Here is a 20,295-nt window from a genome sequence, read left to right on the forward strand (position 1 = left end):
TCAAGTCAGTGAGAAAAGGGTACAGCTCTCTATCCCATTAATTGGAAAAGCTGCACCCAATCATAGGCAATGATGTGCCCATTCCTGAACCGCTTGCTGTGGCCAAGGGAATGAGGTGCTCTGATTGGCTGAGGCCCGAATCATAGGCTCTGTCCAGCACACACGGTGTGAGAGAAGGGAAGACGGAGGCTTCCCGGAGAGTGGTCAGGCCACGGTTACCAAAGAGGGTGCAATATGAACCAGGTGGCCCAAAGGATGAGCTAGTCAGATGGGCTTTGTCTGCTTGCTGAAGAGCTTGGGCATTGACCCAGAGAATTTAAGTGGAGGAGTGACATGGTATGATTGGAGCTTTAGGCCAATCATTGTGGTGGCACTGGGGAACCTAGGGTCGATCAGGGACCATTTGGAGGTCCTGGCAAGTACAGCTGATGAAGGACCAAGGGCAGGAGTGGAGAAAACCCAGAACACATGAGGAGGTAGAAGTGCCTGGACTTGATACAGCATCCCCCTGCTTGCCCAGTAAGCAAACCGAGATGAGCTCCACCAAGCAGTTGAGTCAGGGACCCAGTACTAGGGAATAACAAGGCTTCTGACCATGGCTCTGCACAGAATATGCACCTTCTACAAGCAAGGGAGAAAGTACGTCTCCTGCCCCCAAAGTAGCCACTTTTGTCCTTGAACAGAAGAGCCGCAGAGGTACTTACTGCTATTTTTATTGATTCAACAATCTGCTACTCGCTGGCCTCCAAACTCCTGAGAGTTATGAGCTCATTACTGCCAACCACATTCCTCTAAAGTACACATTAGGTTCATAAACACAATTTCAGGGCTCTGTGCGAAATGGAGATGCTCTGTAATAGAAAATTAGCTTCTTCCCCACCAGCTCCACCAAGTTTATGTTTCGTCTCCTTGGATGGCAGTATTCTTGGTAGGGGAGAGAAAGCAATCCATGGAGCTGGGAGTATTAGAGGCTGATTGCCGAGTAGGAGCCTCCTCTTGTCCCCAACCATTTAATGATCCGGTGGCTGCCCAATGTGTGGGATGACCTGTGACCTGCTCTGTTCTATTTACCAACCAAAGAGATTCCATGCAGCAGCCTTTTAGCATTAACAGAAATAGGAAAGGCTGCCATGCACTGGTTGCATTCAAGAAACGGATGGGGCCGGGTGCGGTGGCTCACGCCTGTAATCCCAGCACTTTGGGAGGCTGAGGCGGGTGGACCATGAGGTCAGGAGATCAAGACCATCCTGGCTAATGGGGTGAAATCCCCATCTCTACTAAAAATACAAAAAATTAGCCGGGCATGGTGATGCACACCTGTAGTCCCAGCTACTAGGGAGGCTGAGGCAGCAGAATCGCTTGAACCTGGAAGGCAGAAGTTGCAGTGAGCCCAGATCGCGCCACTGCATTCTAGCCTGGGTGACAGAGCAAGACTTCATCTAAAAATAAATAAACAAACAGATGGTTTCTAACCAAACTGGCCTTACCGGATACCTCCAGTTCTCTCTTTCTTAAAATAAGGGAGTGATGTCTTTGGCCTGGATAAGCAGCTTGAGCCATATGGTTCTTCTGGATTCAGCTCTAGAAAGGGCCCATGCTCAGCTGTTTAGCTTTGGACAGTTATTGAGCCCCACTGAAGCTCAGACCTGTCATCTGTGGGATAGGGTGCTGGACCCACCCTGAGGGATTATCATGAGGCTTAAATGAGGTAGAACAGCTGTAGGGAGCTCAGTGCAAGTTCTAGCTGAGTGGCCCTGGGCAACTCTGAGATAATGCCCTTCAGTGATTCTTGGCCAGGGGTGGTTTTGTTTTGTCCCTACGGGGACATTTGGCAATGCCTGAAAGCATTTTTTATTGTCACAACTGGGGTGGCTGCTACTGGCATCTCATGGGTGCAGGCTAGGGATGCAGTGGAATGTCTCACAATGCACAGGACAGCTCCCATACAAGACTGTGTTCTCAATAGCGGGTAGCCGTCAAATGGTAAGTGCTCTGTGCCAGGGACTGTGCTAAATGCAGAAAGTCAGAGATCAGAGGCAGATGCCCACCGCTGAGTACACCGCTCCGTAGAGACCAGAGGAGTTCAGAGGAGAGTTGCCTCATACAGCCTGGAGGCAGGATGGGGTGAGGGGGTGAAGGATGGCTTTGTGGATGGGGAGGGCATCTGAGCTGAGTCTGGAAGTTGCTCCAATCATTTTCTCTCCTTCTTCAGTGGATGTGAGGGAGGGTCACCAGCCCTGGGGACTGGTGTCGGGAAGAGGTAGCTTGCATCTGTGACTGCCAGACCCCTCCAAATGTGAGGTCACATGGGCCCATGGGTGTGAGGAGAGGAGCCGGGTGGTGAAGGTGTCGGCAGGCATGGTGCTGTGGGACAGGAACTGTCACCTCTGCTCCGACATGAGATCACAGGTCTATCTATCCTGTTCAAGTTGGGTTTTAAAATAAAATTGCTCCTTGTTCTGACTGCAGCTGTCATTTCTTTTGTTATTTCTGAGGCCGTTTGTTAGTAAGAGGAATAATTTAGAGCTTGGAGGTGGACTTCGTCTTGGCTAGTTGCTAGGCACCCACTTTCTCAAGGCACGGGGCCCTAGATGCAAAAAGGATCCCCAGCAGTAAGACCTGGGGCTGTCTCACTTGGTGGCAGCATGTGCCTCCCCTCCCACCCTTCATTCTCCCAGGCGTATAGACAGCAGAGTGCCAGTGTGGCATTTCCACAGACGAACCAACTGCTGTAAGCCTCTGAAACAGGAATGTTACATATATGGCTCTCATGCCACCTGGCCCTATTCACCTGTCCATGGCAGACGTGGCCAATCAATCACAGACTTTCTCATCGAACTCAGATGCATTCTCAGAATCATCCCCCACATGACCACCATCTTCCCCAGGCAACCACCACTGTACACTAGAGTAGGCAGGTAGCTCTAGACTTGGCAGGTTTGCCATCCTTGCTGGAAATCCTTACTGGCGGTGTGACCCTGGGCACATCATATAACCCCAATTTATTTCCTCTTAAACAAAATGCAGATGCCTAATGCCTACTTTGCAGGGTTGTTGTGAAAACGAAGAGAAGTAAAAACAAACAAAGTGGCTGTCATGGAGTCCAGCTGGAGTAAGGGCTCAGTAATTTTTTTTTTTTTTAAGAAATGGGGTCTCACTGTGTTGCCCAGGCTGGTCTTGAACTCCTGGTCTCAAGCAGTCCTTGTGCCTCAGCCTCCCAAATTGCTGGGATTAGAGGCATGAGCCACCTCGCTGGCCCTCAGTAATTGTTCCTTTTCTTGCTTTTTGCATAAAAGTTACCCTTCAAAGACTGCAGTGGGACTTGTGGTTCATTTAATTCTGCTTGATATTGTCATTTATCTTTTCAGCTGTATTTGTTTGAGTCCTCAATAAGACTGTAGGCATTTAGATGGCAGGGAAGGTATCTTTGGAATTTTTTTTGTCCCCTGGCCTTCCATCAAGATGTGGTAATTGGATGTATAGGAGTGTGGCAGACACTGCTAGTTGCTTGCTGAAAATAGCCATGGGTTTTTTTTGTTGTTGTTTTTTTCCTTATCTCTTAGTAACAGAGCCCTGGGCATTATGCCCACATAGAAAATAGTAAATTTCTCAGCTTCCCTTGCAGCTACATATGGCCATGTAACTAAGATCTGGCCAGTAAGATATAGGTAGATGTATTGGTTGTGGCTTCCCAGAAAGGCTGCTTATACCTCATCTGCGTGGTACATGCCTTGCCTTTCTGCTTCTTGTTGCCTAGAATTGAGATATGATAGGTGGAACTCCAGCAGCCGCCTTGGGCCATGTGGTAACCTGGGGGATGGCAACTCTGCAGCTAAGATCGCAGAGCAGAAAGATGGACGGCCTCAGTCCCTGATGACTAAGGAGAGCAGCCATCCCAATTCTGGACTGCCTCCCTGCAGACTGCTTGTCCATCAGAAAAGAAGCCCCAAGTGATTAGACCCCAGCTATTTTGGAACCAAATGCGATTCCTACCTGATGCAAAGAGCTCTTTGAGTAGAGGCTGAGAGAACTGCTGCCCAGAACTCTAGAGGTGACATAGCACATGGCGTTTAGGGACTTATAGTCAACAGCTAGTTATGAGTTTCCATGGGCCACAGGTGCTGCTGGCGAATGTGGCTTGCTGCTCAGTTGAAGAGCGAACATCGAAAATAACCCGAAGAGAGAGGTGAGGAAGAACAGATCAGGCAGGGCCCTGCAAGCCACGTCTGGGAATTTAGACTTGAGCTTGAGTGCAGTGGCGCATCATTGGAGGAATGAATTTATTTATTTATTTTTATTTTTTATTTTTATTTTTTGAGATGGAGTCTCACCCTGTCACCCAGGCTGGAGTGCAGTGGCGTGATCTCGGCTCACTGCAACCTCTGCCTCCCAGGTTCAGGCACTTCTGCCTCAGCCTCCCAGGTTCAGGCACTTCTGCCTCAGCCTCCCGAGTAACTGGGACTATAGGCATGCACCACCATGCCTGGCTAATTATTTCGTGTTTTTAGCAGAGATGGGGTTTCACCATTTTGGCCAAAGTGGTCTCGAACTCCTGACCTCAAGTGATCCACCCGCCTCGGCCTCCCAAAGTGCTGAGATTACAGGCATGAGCCATCACGCCTGGCCCGTTGGAGGACTTTAATTTACACTTGGGAACCATTGCTCTGGCTGTGGTGTGGAAAAGGAGTAGGAGGCAAGATAGCTGGTTTTGTCCCTCCTGACAAAGGTTTCCTCCTCCTTCTAGACGACCTGAGTCTGTTAGCCAGCTCCAAGACGCCCTTCTCCTTGGTAGAACCCCACCGAGTCTGATTTGGGTGGCAAGTTAGAGCTTGGTCTACGCCTGGGGTTTCTAAAGCCCCCACACCTCGTGGCCCTTTTGGCTGGGACTTCCAGACCCTGGGTCTACCCCATCAAGGACTTTTTTTTTGAGAACCTCCAGCATTCCTGGTCAGCCACACACCAGGCAAGCCCTGCATACCGGCTTGGCCAGCACCCGCCGTGGCTGTAACTGACCTCTAGGTGGCGGTGGCCACCTGCTGCCACTCTGGCTCCCAGAGCCCTGGCCAAGGAAGTCCTCTTTCTCCCCACATTAGCCAGTGTTCCTTGTCTCTTCCCTCCCTGAGTTGTGGATCCCGGGACCTACCTGTTTCTTCCTCTGTCTTAGGTGAGACTTTTCTGACTTCCCAGTTTTCGCTGCTATGAGTGTCGGTAACTTCATCCAGTAGGCTTTGCAAAGTCTTTATTTGTGCAGAAGGCTGGAGGAGGTGTCACAGTGCCACACACAGAGACTTGCATATGCAGACCTTGGTCTTGACTGTCAGAAGCGTCCATCCTTTGCTCACTGCCAGATGCTTATAAGCAAGGATAGATGAGATGTAGGTGGCCCGGTATGGAGGGTAAGCCCTCCCTCCTTCCTTCTTTCCTGCTTGCCTTCTTGTTTCCTTCTCTTCCTTCCATTTATCCATCCATCTACCTACCCACCCATCTAGCACCCGTTGGGCATCTCCAGGAACTGAGGGCTCCTAGGGGTTTCCATCTTGGTTCTTGCCCTCAAGGAATTCATTGCATAGTAAAGATGAAGACTTGTAAAGGTACAATTGCAAGTAAATGTTCAGGTGATGTTCATTTATTCATCTGTTCATTTGTTTGTTCATTCATTCATTCATAGTATTGAATATCCATTATTTCCAGGCACTGGTCTGGGTACTAGGGCATAGTGAATAAGACTCTGGTCATGTACTCCCAAGAATATGTATAATTAGTATTTGTCAATTAAAAGAATAAAATCTTAAAATGTGCAGAGCTTACGTTCAGTGGAGAGAGGACAGCAAGCCATCAATAAATAAAGTCTTGATATGTACCACAGATTGAGGTCAGCAGCTGCGATTGCCTGCCATTTCAAATGATTCATCTTGTAAACAGACAGTGTCAACCTATGGCATCAATAAATACAGCACGATACTGGAAAAAACTAGGCAAGATAATTGCTCATTATACCAAATGCTGTGAAGAAGCAGAGAGAGAATGATGGTAGAGGATAGTTTTGGGGTGGGGTAAGGGTGTATACTGGGTGGCATGTGTGCACGTGTGTGTGTGTGTGTGTGTGTGTATGTGCATCTGGCGAAAGTGATGTATACCTGGTGGGGCAGTGTGTGAGTACTTGGTAGTGTGTGCACCTGGTAGTGTGTGCATGGATGAGCATCTGATGGGGTGTGTGCATGTGTGCCTGAAGGGATACGTGTGTGAGTACTTGATAGTGTGTGCACCCGGTAGCATGTGTATGTATATGTATCTGGTGGAGTATGTGCATGTGTGCCTGGGGGGATGTGTGAAATTGCCTCCTTTCAGGGAGAGGATGCATTGGGATTGTGAGCTTTTCCAAAGGTGGAAAGGTTCTGAGCTGCTGGCCTTCACAGAGACGTACCTAGGTTGATGGGAGCTGCTCAGGAGCACCCTCTGAACTCCCAGAAGGCCCGGGGCATTAGCATCTTGTCTGCCGATGGCCTCCAGAGAGAACACTGTGCATCTCAGGACCAAAGCAGTGTTTGAGTTGCATTGACAGAGTTGATTGTGATACTCGAGGCTTCCTTTGCCATAATGCCACCCTCTTCTAGTGGGCAGTAAGCTGTGATGTCAGACCAGACCCCTTTACCCTTTTCTTCTCCTTACTAAGTAGCAATACATTCAGGGCAGGTCAAGTCACATTGTGTGTTCATGTAGCATTTAAGGAGAGTTCAACCCCTTTCCAGAATTGCTAATAACAGTACAATAAACACCGGTCATGCTTTATGCATGTGTTATGTCACAACCCTCTTAGGTGGGTGCTAATACTATCCCCGCTCTATAGATGCTAAAACTGATGCTCAGAAAGGTAAGGTAGGTTGGCCAGGGTTGTCCAGCTGGCAGGTGGTGGAGTCGGGGGTTAATTGAGGCAGCAGTTCCCACAGCCTGCACTTTAACCTCTGTTCTCTGGAGTGGGGCCTCCCCACTCTTAGTGATTGGGAGGCATCTGTCTGTGTTTTGCAGAGATACGGCAGGTCTCAAGAATGGCCCACACTATACCTCAATGCCTTGTCTAGAGCCTGAGCTCTTTCTCTACTGCTTCAGGACAGGGTGGTCTGGAGGAAGAACACAGATTAGGTGGGGGAAAAGACAAAGGTTCAAATCACGTCTCCACCACTCACTCTGGGTCTTTGGGCAAGGCCCTGTTCACACCTCATTTACCCATCATAAAAAGACTTGGACCAGGCAAAATGGCACACGTTAGCCTCTGCCGTGGTGCTTTGCAAGCCTGCAAGATGGAAAAATGTTCATCCCAGCCCCATCTTGTATGTGAGGAAATTTTAAAACAAAATTGAATGCTATCTTACGGGCATTGTTATGAGAGAGAAATGAGTACATTGGGTAAATTAACTGTATTACGATGTTTGTGGTCTGCATACGGGTGCAATTTGATTGCGTGGGGAGACAAAAGAGGGTTCCTCGTGATGACTAATACATCTCTTTAAACATACATTAGAGAGAGGTGCAGAGAGTGTGCCTATCACATCTGAAATGTTCTATTGTTCTGTTTGTTTTTCATTACTCTGAAATGATTACTGCAAAAATTCCTAAATTGGATGCTTTTCAAAGAGGAAGATTAAAGACCATAAGCACAGTCTTGCAGCTGTGCAAAAAAGACTGTGCATCTGTAGATGGATGGAGAGCCTTAACAGCTTCACCTTGGGCTCTGCACTGCACGTGGAGAAACCTCAGGCCCATTGGGAAGTGGCAGCCACGTTCCATCTGTGAGCCCAGAGGGACCTTAGTTGGCATTTTGTAGCATATCTGCCCCGAGCTGACCACCATCTGCTTGGCATTATTTAAAACCTCTTAAATGCATTTCGGCGGGGGACAGGTCTCCATAACACTGGGACAGGGAGGCAGAAGTCTTCTGGAGAAACCAGACGGAAACCTTGCCTGGTTGCAGAGGAGGAAGAAGCATCAAACGCGAGCCCTATGCAGACACTGAGTGGTCTTGCTTCTGTGGCTGCCTGAGAAGTTGCAGCTCTTTGATTAAAGATCAGTAGTTATTTGAGGGTTTTGTATTTATTATGTACATTTTGTTGTTAGACAGCTATCACTGGTCCTGTTTCTAGAGGGAGAAAGGAAGTATTTATACTCTTGGTGTTGGCTGCAAGGTTGTCCCAGCCAACAATTCCCAGTCACGGCGAAGGATACAGGAAGGAGCTTTGAATTGTGTAGATGAGTTAGAAGGCCAGTTAAACCCAGAAAGGGCAATGCTGTGAGCACCAAGGAGGAGGTAGCCTTTGGAGTGTGTCGCAATCCACTCCCCTTCTCTTCCTGCACACGCCGCACACATGCGCAGAGGCAGGCTCTGGCCACAGCTCATTGGCCCAGAGTGAGCACTCACACAGGAGAAAACTACCCAGATACTGGCCCAATCAGATTCTCTGTTGGTCTCAGGTCTTTTCACTACAAGTGGCAAAATCTTACCTTGAGCTGGCTAAAACAAAACAATTTTTTGCCTTATATAAGTAAAACATTCTGTTGTAGCTTGATCTAGGGTCTCAGCTATTCTCCTTCCTCCTCCCTTTCTCCCTTCCTCCTCCTCCGCCCCCTCCTGCTGTCTTCTTCCCCCACCTCCTCCTCCCCGGTCCACTCCCCCCTCCTCCCACCGTTTCACTCTCCCCTCCTCCTCCCATTTCACTCCCCCCTCCTCCCCCTCTCCACTTCCCCTCCTCCCCTATCCTCCTACCCGCCTTTTCCCCCTTAGGTTCTGCGTCTCTGTACTGTGTTCTCTAGTAGGTTCCTCTCCTGTGGGGCTCACCAGCAGCTCTGAGCTTAGATCCTCACAGGCCAAGAAATGTGGCTATGAAACCCCTCAGCTCTCTCCCTGTCATACAGGCTCCTGATGGGCCTGGATGGGGTGGAACACCCTCACGGTGGTGCATGCAGGACTTTGATTTTCCCAGCCTTGATCTCATGCCTACTCTAGGGTCAGAGCTGGAGCGGGACCCATAGGGAGCCCAGAGACAGGCTGGGTGGAGAGTGGGTCCCTAAAGGAGAACTGAAGAAGAGGAAGTGGATGGCAGGCAGAGAAAGACAACCACTGTTCGCACGGAGGCTTCCTCCTGGACCATGCGGGATTATGCCTCAGAGCCTGGGTCAGTCTGCATGCACGTGGGGCTGGGTGGAGGGAGTGTCATATCTAGACCCTGAGCTCGGGAGGTGGAGAAAGCAAACTTGCAGGGAGGAAGCAGGATCCCTTGGGTGTGCAGAGGAGCAGAGCAGCATGGCCTCGCAGCTAACCTTGGACTTGGGTGGCTTTCTGGTCACTGGTCCTGCCCCTCAGGAGGCCCAGCAGTCTTTCCAGCTCTTGCTTTTTTTGAGATACCCTTGTACCCGTCCAGTAATACCCCATTTCCCCAAAGCCATAGTGAACTGGCCTTTCTTCCTGGTAATCAAAGAGTCTGTGACTAAGAAGATAGAAGGACCAGCGACACCATCGGCCTAGCTCACAGAGTTCCTCTCCAGAAGAGAAGTGCCTGGCTCCCAGTGTGGTTGGAAATATACCGAACAGAAGCATGGCTCAGCTTCCATGCAGCCAGAGAAGCTCCTGATTCTGTAAAGCATAGTTAGCTGTGGCAGGAGGGAGAGGGCCATTCAGGATCACATCAGAAGGTGACATGCTAGTGGCCGTCCTGGCTGAATCACGACCTCCCCAGCCCATTCCTTCTCACAAGAGCTGTTTTGCCGAATGAGACTTCATCACCCAACCACGGCTCGCAGCCAGACGCAGCCGAACAGGCCTAGTGCGGCTGAAACTTTCCTTCAGAGGGGGAAACCCTAAAACTGTCTGCTGGGCATAGTGATTTCTTTAGTATTTTCAGAGTTGAGTGCCTTGCTTGTTCAAATGCCAAGATTATTTTTAAGTCCATTATATTCTCACTGATTTCCTATTGTCAAGAACATTTTATTTGGAAAGGTCTTAGTGTAACCAAAGTAGAAAACTCCTTCTATATTTTTAGCTTGGTCTTCCCTCTTGTTACCTCCTCCTCCCCCTGGCCAGCTCCTCTTCATCCTTCAAGGCTTTGCTCAGCCATCACCTCCTCCAGGAAACTGCATTCCATGTCACCTCTCCTTCTGGCCTCCTGTGCATCCCTATGCCATAACACTTATTCCACTGGACTATAACTTTTTGGCTGGCTGGCTGCCTCACAAATGTGTGAACTCTTTTTTTTTTTTTTTTTTGAGACAGAGTCTAGCTCTGTTGCCTAGGCTGGAGTGCAGTGGTGCGATCTCAGCTCAATGCAACCTCCGCCTCCCGGGTTCAAGCAATTCTCCAGCCTCAACCTCCTGAGTAGCTGGGACTACTCAGGGTGCATGCCACCATGCCCGGCTAATTTTTGTACTTTTAGTAGAGAGAATTTCGCCATGTTGGCCAGGCTGGTCTCGAACGCCTGACCTCAGCCTTCCAAAGTGCTGGTATTACAGGCGTGAGCCACCGTACCCAGCCAAATGTGTGAACTTCTTTAGAACAGGCACATTGCTTTTGCTAATAATAGCCGACTTTTGTTAAATATTTAAATGTTAAGCAAAGTAGTTGATTTTCAAACACAGTCCTAGAAGTTAGATGCGATAATTGCCCACATTTTACATTAAGAAATTGAAGCATGTGTGGAGAGCTTTAGCAAATTACTGAAGGTCATACAACTAATGAGAATATGAAATCAAGATTCTATCTCAGGCAGCCTTAGTCTTATTGTGTCCATAACCACTGCTCCAAACTATTGGCTCAGCTCAGTATCTCTCCTTGGAGCCACCACAAGTCTGGTGCCTAGTAGGTGCTCAATAAACATTGGGTGAACTTCAAGAGATTGGATACCTGTGAATGTGCAGCTGGGCTGACTTGGAAGGAATTTCCAGAGGTGGTTTTGCTGCTTCTATTACTGTGACGAGGGGTAGAGGCACGTTTGGCTTCCTGCCTGCATGGAATTTTGCAGTCAGAGCAAGTTCTAACCGCAGCCCTTCACTCCTTCTCTCCAAGACAAATGGAAACTTATTCTGTTCTTAAAACTCGTCTCCTCTATCAGAAGCTTTTTCAGAGGCTCTGGTGCTGAGGCTGCAGGGTGAAAAGTAACCTCCCATCCGTCACAGCAATTCTGCTTCGGGTTGGAAAACAATTTGAAGCATCGCGTCTTCCAAGAGGAGTTTTCCTTTAAATTTTTTATGATAGAAAATATTCAGGCTGGCCAGGTGCCATTGCTCACACCTGTAATCCCAGCACTTTGGGAGGCTAAGGCGAGCAGATCACTTGAGGTCGGAAGTTCAAGACCAGCTTGGCTAACATGGTGAAACCCTGTCTCTACTAAAAATACAAAATTAGCCGGGCATGGTGGCAGGTGCCTGTAATCCCAGCTACTGTGGAGGCTGAGGCAGGAGAATCACTTGAACATGGGAGGCGGAGGTTGCAGTGAGCTGAGATTGCGCCACTGCACTCCAACCTGGGTGACAGAGCGAGACTCTGTCTCAAAAAAAAAAAAAAAAAAAAAAAATATATATATATATATATATATATATATATATATGTATACACACACACACACACACACACACACACTCTTATATATGAGAAAATATCCAGACCAGTGTGGAGATCAATATCTCAAACACCCTGAACACCCTGGGCCTCAGCTGTGGCTTCGCTCTGGGTGCTGGGCTCGATCTCTTGCCATAGGTCTAGTCCCCAGCGAGCTCTCAGTCCTGGCCCTGCAGCCTGGGCTGGACCCTGCTTCCATGGTCAGCTTCACTTTCCGCCATTCACTCTTGGACATTGCCTCTTTTTTCCTGAAGGATAGAGACGTGCCTTTCATTTTGGGATGTGACTTGCCTTTTCAAGTACCTCTACAGTTTAGTCTTCATCCAATTGTATCTGGGGAGAAGAGGGAGGATTGGAGGTGTGTTGTCTTCACAGTGCCAACCAGGAGTCCCACTTAACTTGAAAAATAGCATTTAATTTTTCTGTTACCAAAGTCTGTTCAGTAGAAGAAAGAAATCTGGAAATCTTGAAAGAAGATAAACAAAATAAAAATCTATCACCATTCAGAAATAGCAGCCACTGTTAATGTTTTAATTTGTATCCCAGTCTTATTTCTGGGGATTTCATTATACACACACACACACACACGTGACTGGAGTCATACTTATCAATATATCATAAGCAGTGTCTTAATTCCATGATTTCAGAATAAACAAGGGTCCAGCTTCTATTCCTCACTGCCTCCCCCAAACCCAGGAAGACTTGGCAGGTGTTTGTATCTATGAAGAGAGAAGCAGAAGCCTGCTCTACCTTCACAGGGAAATAAAAAGCTCTATGCAGAATATCAGTGCCGCAAATGGAGCAGCCTGTTTAGCAATGCACATGGCTAAGGGGGGATCATGTGCATGACTCAAATATCCAGACTGCAACATGTGACTGCAGGATGAAGTCATACTTCCTTTTACATCCCCCTGCTATGATCGCTGGATCCCCCAGCAGCTTGATTGCCGGAAATTAGCTCCCATAGCAGTGACTCCAGCTATTTCTGAGTTTCCCAGGAGCTGCCTCACGTGGACTCAGGGACTCGCCCCTTGTGATTTTCTCTGTGGCCCCTGCTGCTGCTGCCCATGCTGAAGATGCCCCTTATTAGGACGCCAGGCTCCTGGGCACTGCTGCCCGTCAGCGGTCGTTGTCGCTCTGACTTGGGGTGGAGGCGGAGGCACTTTCTCTGCATTGCTACTCAAACCCAGATGTGACAGCTGGGCCTGTGCCGTATATCCACACAACACAACTGAGGTGAGGCTAGAAGTTTTTCATTGCCTAATCACCTCTGTATTAGTCGGTTTTCATGCTGCTGATAAAGACATACCCGAGACTGGGCAGTTTACAAAAGAAAGAGCTTTAATTGGACTCACAGTTCCACATGGCTAAGGAGGCCTCACAATCATGGTTGAAGGCAAGGAGGAGCAACTCACATCTTACATGGATGGCGGCAGGCAAAGAAAGCTTGTGCAGAGAAACTCTGCCTTATACAGACATCAGATCTCATGAGACTTATTCACTAACAAGGGAACAGCATGAGAAAGACCTGCCCCTGTGATTCAATTATCTCCCACCGGGCCCCTCCCACAACACGTGGGAATTATGGGAGCTACAATTCAAGATGAGATTTGGGTGGGGATACAGAACCAAACCATAGCAACCTCTATTATTAAAAATTGTTTTTAAATTTTTAAATATTGACAAATAAAAATTGTATATATTCAAGGCATACAACATGATGGTTTGATGTACATATACATCGTGTAATGACTGCCACAATCAGATTAACATATCCACCACCTCCCGAAGTGAGTGTGTGTGTGTGTGTGTGTGTGTGTGTGTGTGTGTGAGAGATGACACTTAAAGTTGGCTTTCTCATCACATTTTGAGTAAACAGTACCATGGTATTGTTAGCCAGAGTCCCCATGCTGTCATCAGATCCACAGAACTTATCTTCTAAGAGAAAGTTATAAGATGTACCCTTTGACCAACATCACCTATCTCCCCTATCCATCCCCCCAGCCCCTGGCAACCCCCGTCTGTTCTCTGCTTCTATGAGTTTATCCATAGAACTTCACTCACGTCCGCCTGTAAGTGAAGTCAGGCAATATTTGTCTTTCTGTGTCTGGCTTATTTGGTGTAATACGATCCCCTCCAGGTTTATCCATGTTGTCACAAATGACAGAATTCCCTTCTTTTTTATGGCTGAATATTATTCCATGGCGTGTGTGTGTGTGTGTACCACATATATTCCATATGTGGCATGTTTATGTGTGTGTATATAAATATATAGACACACCACATTTTCTTTATCCATTCATCTGTTGACAGACACCTAGTTTGTTTCCATATCTTGTGAATAATAATACTGCAGTGAATATGCGGGTCCACATAGCTCTTGAGGGTACTAATTTAATTTCCTTTTTTATTTTAAAGTTTCATTTTATTTTTCAGTTAGTTAATTTGAGACAGGGTCTCAGCTCTGACACCCAGGCTGGAGTGCAGTGATGCGATCACAGCTCACTGCAGCCTCCACCTCCTGGGCTCAAGCGATCCTCCCACCCTAGCCTCCTGAGTAGCTGGGACTTACAGGCATGTACCACCACACCTGGCTAATTTTTAAACTTTTTTTGTAGAGACAGTCTCACTGTGTTGCCCAGGTTGGTCTTGAACTCCTGGCCTCAAGGGATCCTCCCACCTCAGCCTCCGAAAGAGTTGGGATTATAGGCCTGAGCCATCACACCCTGTCTTATTTTCTTTAGATATATATCCAGAAGTAGGATTGCTGGATTCTGTATGGTAGTGCTATTTTTATTTGTTGGAGGTGCCTTCATACTATTTTCTATGATTTACTTTCCTGCCAATAGCGTACAAGAGTTTCCTTTTCTCGATACCCTCACCAACACTTGTCTCTTATCTTTTGGAGAAGGGCCATCCTAACAGGTGTGCAGTGGTATCTCATTGTGGTTCCGATTTACACTTCTCTGATGAGTGGTGATGTGAGCACCTTTTCATCTACTTGTAGGCTATGTGTGTCTTCTTTGGAAAAATGTCTGTTTACATCCTTTGCCCATTTTAAAATCAGATTATTTGGGATTTCTGTATATATTTTGGATATTAACCCCTTATCAGATATGGGGGTTGCAAATATCTTCTACTTTGTAGGTTCTTTTCATTTTGTTGTTTCCTTTGCTGCACAGAAGCTCTTTAGTTTGATGTAGTCCAACTTATTTTGTTTTTGCTTATATTGCCTGTGCTTTGGTAACATATTCAAAAAAATTACTGCCAAGACTAGTGTCTACAAGCTCATTCCCTATGTCTTCTTCTAGGAGTTTTACAGATCTTACACTTAAGTCTTTAATCTATTTCATGATAATTTTTATATGGTGTAAGACAAGGCTCTAATTTCATTATTTTGAAGGTAGATATTCCGTTTGCCCAGCACCATTTATTGAAAAGACAGTCTTTTCCCCATTGTGTTTTCTTGGTGGCTGTGTCACAGATTAGTTGACCATATATGTGTGGATTTACTTCTGGGCTTTGTTCTGTTCTCATGGTCTATGTGTCTGTTTTTAATGACAGCAGCAAACGATTACTGTCGTTTTGTAGTATAGTTTGAAATCAGGGACTGTGATACCTCCAGCTTTGTTCTTTCTCAATATTGCTTTGGCTATTCAAGGTCTTCTGTGTTTCCATATGAGTTTTAAGGTTGTTCTTGTATTTATGTGAAATGTCATTGGAATTTTGATAGAGATTACATTATGTAGTATGGACGTTTTAACAATATTATTTCTTCTAGTCCATAAACTTGGGATATCTTCCATTTGTTTGTGTTTTTTTTTTTCAGTTTATTTCATCAATGTCTGATACTTTTAAGCATATAGATATTTCACTTCCTTAGTTAAGTTTATTCCTAAGTATTTTATTTGACAAAATTCAACATCCTTTCATGATAACCCCCCAATGAATGAGGTATAGAAGGATGTACCTCAGCATAAGAAAACTGTATGTGACAAGCCTACAGCTAACATCATACTCAACAGTGAAAAGCTGAAAGCGTTTGCTCTAGGATGAAGAACAAAACAACGATGTGTACTCCTGCCGCTTTGGTTCAATATAGTACTGGAAGTCCCATTCAGAGCAATTAGACAAGAAAAAGAAATAAAAGGCATCCAAATTGGAAAAGCAGAAGTTAAATTCTCTCTATTTGCAGATGATATCATGTCATATAGAAAACCTTAAAGATGCCACCAAAACAAAACAAAACCCACAACTGCCAGAACTAATAAGTAAATTGAGTAAAGTTGTCAGATACAAAGTCAGCATACAGAATCTGGTGTGTTTATATACACTAACAATGAACCATCTGAAAACACAAATTTAGAAAAGTCCCATTTATAATAACATCAGGCTAGAACTTTTAATAAAACTTTATATACAGCAGCATAGTGATCATGGGAGAGAGATACAGCAGGGGGACAACTTTTAGTGGCTACTACCAGATGAACCTGCCGTCAGATGTGGCACCCCCCCTTCCAGAGTCGCGGCCTGTCTTCAGAGCGTCTTTGAAAGGGGCCTTCATGCCTTGCTTGTGTCCACCACTCCCTTGAAAAGGCCAGCTTCCTACCTCACCATGATCTACCTGGAGCCCCAGCCCAACAGCCATGAACCAAAGCATGGATAGTTTCATGCTTAAGTTGTGTCCTCCTTAGTTTTCTGGCAGGGGCTGGTGTTGGCAGCAGTTGGGACTGAAAGAGGCCATAGCAGTTGGCTGCCTGGGCTCTTGGGTCCTCGGTGGGCTCCGAGGGGATTGGAAAGTCCATTAACTTAGCAGGGTGACATAAAGTGGAGACTGTTCCATGAGTCCTCTAACAGAGGCCATTTGCATCTTCCTTTGGTGGAAATGGTCCAGTCCATGGCATATCTACTCATAGACTTTGTTTTAGAGCCAAAGGGTGGGCACCTGGACCAGAAATTCAGTGAGTTAGGGGAACAAGAGTGCCCACCTTTTCCCCTGGCTTTCCTAGGTGTGAAGGAAAAGGCAGTGGCCAGTGATGCGAAGATGTGGGCCATGAAGTCGGGCAGACCTGGGCTTCAGTCCTTGTTTCACTTCTAACTAGCTCTTTGCTAGACCAGTGGCTCAGACTCAGTAAGGGAGAGTTGCAAATTCTTCTCCATCAGGGCTTATGGCAAGTAAAAGTGAATGGGCCAACCATGGTCCATGGCCAGTAGTGCTAAAAATATTTCCTTTTCTCTTAGAGACATACATCTGTGTTCTCTCTCCAGTAATCTAAAAGTGAGTGAAAGAAAACCCATTTGTATATAAATGGCTATCGCTCACTAGGGCGAAGATCCATGCTCTCCTTTTCCTTTTCCAAATCCATAAGAGCTGTAGATGACAGTCCCATGCTCTGAGCAGCCCCCGGTTATTGTATTTGACATGTATCCATCAGGCACATGCACAGACACACGGGTGACTTCCTGCTTCTGTGGGATTGAGAGGGGCAGGACCTGTCAGTAAGACACTCCCTGGCAGTGCTCTCATGGACGGGCAAATACACTGCCTGCATCCACTCTGACCTGTTCGTTCATTCGTTTGTTCGTTTGTTCGTTCGTTAGTTCGTTCGTTCGTTCATTCATTCATTCATTCCATTCACTCATTCATTCATTCATTCTGTCCTTCTTAAAAGTTTAGTCCTGGGAATATATACTGAGTGTTTCTTTTGTACTTCCTGTGGATAAAATTGACCAGATCCATGTCCTCATGGAGCTGTTCCTCTGGTTGAAGGAGAAAGACAACAAACAGGTCTACCTAGCATGCCAGATGGTGGTCGTGCTGGGGTCAGCACTGACAGTTGAGCCAGAAACCTCACGGAGTGAGGGGATAGGCATCGAGGCTGTCCAGGGACAGGGCACTCCAGGCAGAGGGAACAGCCACAGCTCCAGCTCCGGCTCTGTGGCTCCACCCACTTCATCATCCTCTAACATCCCGGACCGGGCCCTGGTCACCTCCAGTATCGTCTTGGATCCCTCGTCCTCCCTGCCCCAGCTGCCCCAGCCTCCTTTCACTTGTCCCCTGTTACACGAGCCCCTGCCACATGTTCCCTCTGCCCTGCCCTTTGCCCTACAGCTGTTCCCCTTCCAGGACTGTCTACTCTGACTCCTTTTTTTTTTTTTTTTTTTTTTTTTTAGGGGGAGTTTTACTGTTTCCCAGGCTGGAGTGCAGTGGTGTGATCTCAGCTCACTGTAACCTCTGCCTCCCAGTTTCAGGCAGTTCTCATGTCTCAGCCTCCCGAGTACCTGGGATTATAGGCACCCGCCACCATGCCCCGCTAATTTTTGTATTATTAGTAGAGACGGGGTTTCACCATGTTGTCCAGGCTGGTCTCAAACTCCTGACCTCAAGTGATCTGCCTGCCTTAGCCTGGGATTACAGGTGTGAGCCACCACGCGCAACCTCCAACTCAATATTTTGGTTGCAGATCAAACATCAAAGCTCAGCTAATCCAACCCCACTCCCAGGCGTGGTGCCCCTGGCAGAACCAGGCCCCCTCCCGCAGCCCTCATCTCCCTTTGAAAGCCTGTGTTTCTATGGGTGATTATTGGCATCAGGTCAGCTGAGGTCCCCAAGGACTGAGCCCTGGGAGGCTGGGATCCTGCCTGGTTTTGTTCTCCATGATAGCCCCAGGGCCCAGCCCGGAGCTTGGTATACAACAGGCCACCTGGTGGTGACTGAGGAGGGAACACGCAGTTCTGCCTGGGGGACAGCGGGGTTTGGGAAAATTGAGGAGGGTCTTGAAGGAGGAGTACACACCCTCAACCTAGCATCCAGTTCTCATCATGTCTAAAAACTAATAAAACAGCACAGGCAGTGTCAGCGGGGTGGGAAGGCTGGTCTTTGGGCACTTCCGGCCATGCCAGTTTCAGAAGCATTGAGTCAAATGTCCAGAGACAGTAGAGCATGGGCTGAAATGGAGTGAACGTAATCTGTGCACCTCAGTTCTCTCCGAGACACAGGGGCTGCTCTTCAGCTACAGTTACGGTACCACGGTTCCAGGTAAAGCACAGACTGGCTGGGTCTCTGCCACATCCAGACCTTTATGCTACATCCTTCTTTCAAAGATCTGTGGAATGGTGCTGGCAATTCTTAGTAAATAATGCATTTCCTCTTGTACTAGGCTGCCTCATTTACATAACCCAGTGAACTGAAAAGTCGTTTTTCTTGGGCCAAGTTATTCATCTTATTCTTGGCATTTGGCTGCAATAATATCCGTCTATCGGCATGGCCATACAATAATTCAGGCATTTTGTTCTAGCAGTGAGGACACTTATAGTTAATAACACATGAAGCCATTTCATTAAAAGGAAAGTTTTGTTAGGATACATTAACACAGGCCTTGAACCAAAACACAAATCATTTCATTCCCTGGCTATTGAGGAAGCAAAATGAATTGGGAACCTGAAGCCATTTTTTGAAGAATCGTTGTTATCCTCATGTCATCTGATTCTCTCTGCATTCAACAGTCAGCATAAAGGGGATCAGGGTTTTAAGGAGTTGATAACACTTGTTTTTCTCTGAGGTGGAAAAGATGTGGTATAGGCTTTAGGGGCAGCATTCACTGAAGGCCCGGTGCTAGTTCCGCTGCTCACTCCTCGGGCAATAGAGAGCGCATTTCTTAGTTGCTCCAGGTTTGTTTTAAGGCATACAAAACTGCAGGGCTGGCTGGGCGCAGGGTGGCTCACGCCTGTAATCTCAGCACTTTTGGAGGCCAAGGCAGGTGGATCACCTGAGGTCAGGAGTTCAAGACCAGCCTGGCCAACATGGTGAAACCCCGTCTCTACTAACAATACAAAATTAACCAGGCATGGTGGCTTGTGCCTGTAATCCCACCTACTTAGGAGGCTGAGGCAGGCTGAGAATCACTTGAACCCGGGAGGCGGAGGTTGCAGTGAGCTGAGATCGCGCCATTGCACTCCAGCCTGGGCAACAAGGGCAAAACTCCGTCTCAAAAAAATAAAATAAATAAATAAATAAATCGCAGGGCTTTTGTGAACATTGTGCGTAACATGTCTGGCACCTGACAGGTGCTGTGAAATGGTACAGCTTTTTCTGTACGTCCAAGAAAGTTCCAGCTAATACTAGTTTTCACTCTTGAATATTACAACATGCAGAAAAAAGTATTTAGTTTTGAGATGCAGGACTTTGGATCATTAAGGAGTTAGTGAAGTTTGAAATGGAGAGGGAGGCATTTGGTCTATGCTGCAGGAAGCAGGGGCAGCCTGACATGTTGGTTCCACGTTCGCTGTGTGTCAGTGAATGTTTATTTCTGAGTTCTCACCGCCTTCATGTCAGCGGGTTTCTCTGTGGGGTCTGATCCTTGCAGGGGTTTGTAACATCCATCAAGTATCTCCTACGAGGTCCTCCTCCTAAAATAGCACTCTTGCCCGGGAACCTGGGGGCTTGCGTGGCAGGGACTGGATAAATGCCCAGGCCGGCCTGCAGCCAGCAGAGAGGTGCACCGAGCTTGTTCTGAGTCAGAAGCCCGGGGAACGCTTCCCGGGTTTTGTTTTAGCACTCAGAAACCCACTCGAGAAGGTCATTTCCTGAACTCTGCTGTTTCTGTTGAGTTTTCTGAAAGCGGAGGGGATGCTTAGCTGTCCAATCCACAGAGCACGCTTTATGTTTGTGTTTCCCCGCCTGCCTAGCATTT

The 20,295-nt window shown here is 47.2% G+C and overlaps 1 protein-coding gene across 19 annotated transcripts in view, besides 2 other annotated features; it reads left to right on the forward strand.

Annotated features, from left to right (window-relative positions):
* SNX29 (sorting nexin 29) overlaps nt 1-20,295 on the forward strand; it is a 597,554-nt gene that overhangs the window by 473,688 nt on the left and 103,571 nt on the right. The window lies entirely within an intron of this gene.
* Nucleotides 9,029-9,188: an enhancer, noted in NCBI's record as "active region_10471". NCBI's record gives its function as "activates an Ori minimal core promoter by ATAC-STARR-seq in GM12878 lymphoblastoid cells {active_cell/tissue: GM12878}" and the evidence as "EXISTENCE:reporter gene assay evidence [ECO:0000049][PMID:35858748]".
* Nucleotides 17,687-18,188: an enhancer, noted in NCBI's record as "H3K4me1 hESC enhancer chr16:12561965-12562466 (GRCh37/hg19 assembly coordinates)". NCBI's record gives its function as "activates a minimal SCP1, AML or CMV promoter by ChIP-STARR-seq in primed H9 embryonic stem cells {active_cell/tissue: H9 hESC(primed)}" and the evidence as "EXISTENCE:reporter gene assay evidence [ECO:0000049][PMID:30033119]".

This window comes from Homo sapiens, chromosome 16, assembly GCF_000001405.40.
Source record: "Homo sapiens chromosome 16, GRCh38.p14 Primary Assembly".
In the NCBI taxonomy this organism is placed as follows: Eukaryota; Metazoa; Chordata; class Mammalia; order Primates; family Hominidae; genus Homo; species Homo sapiens.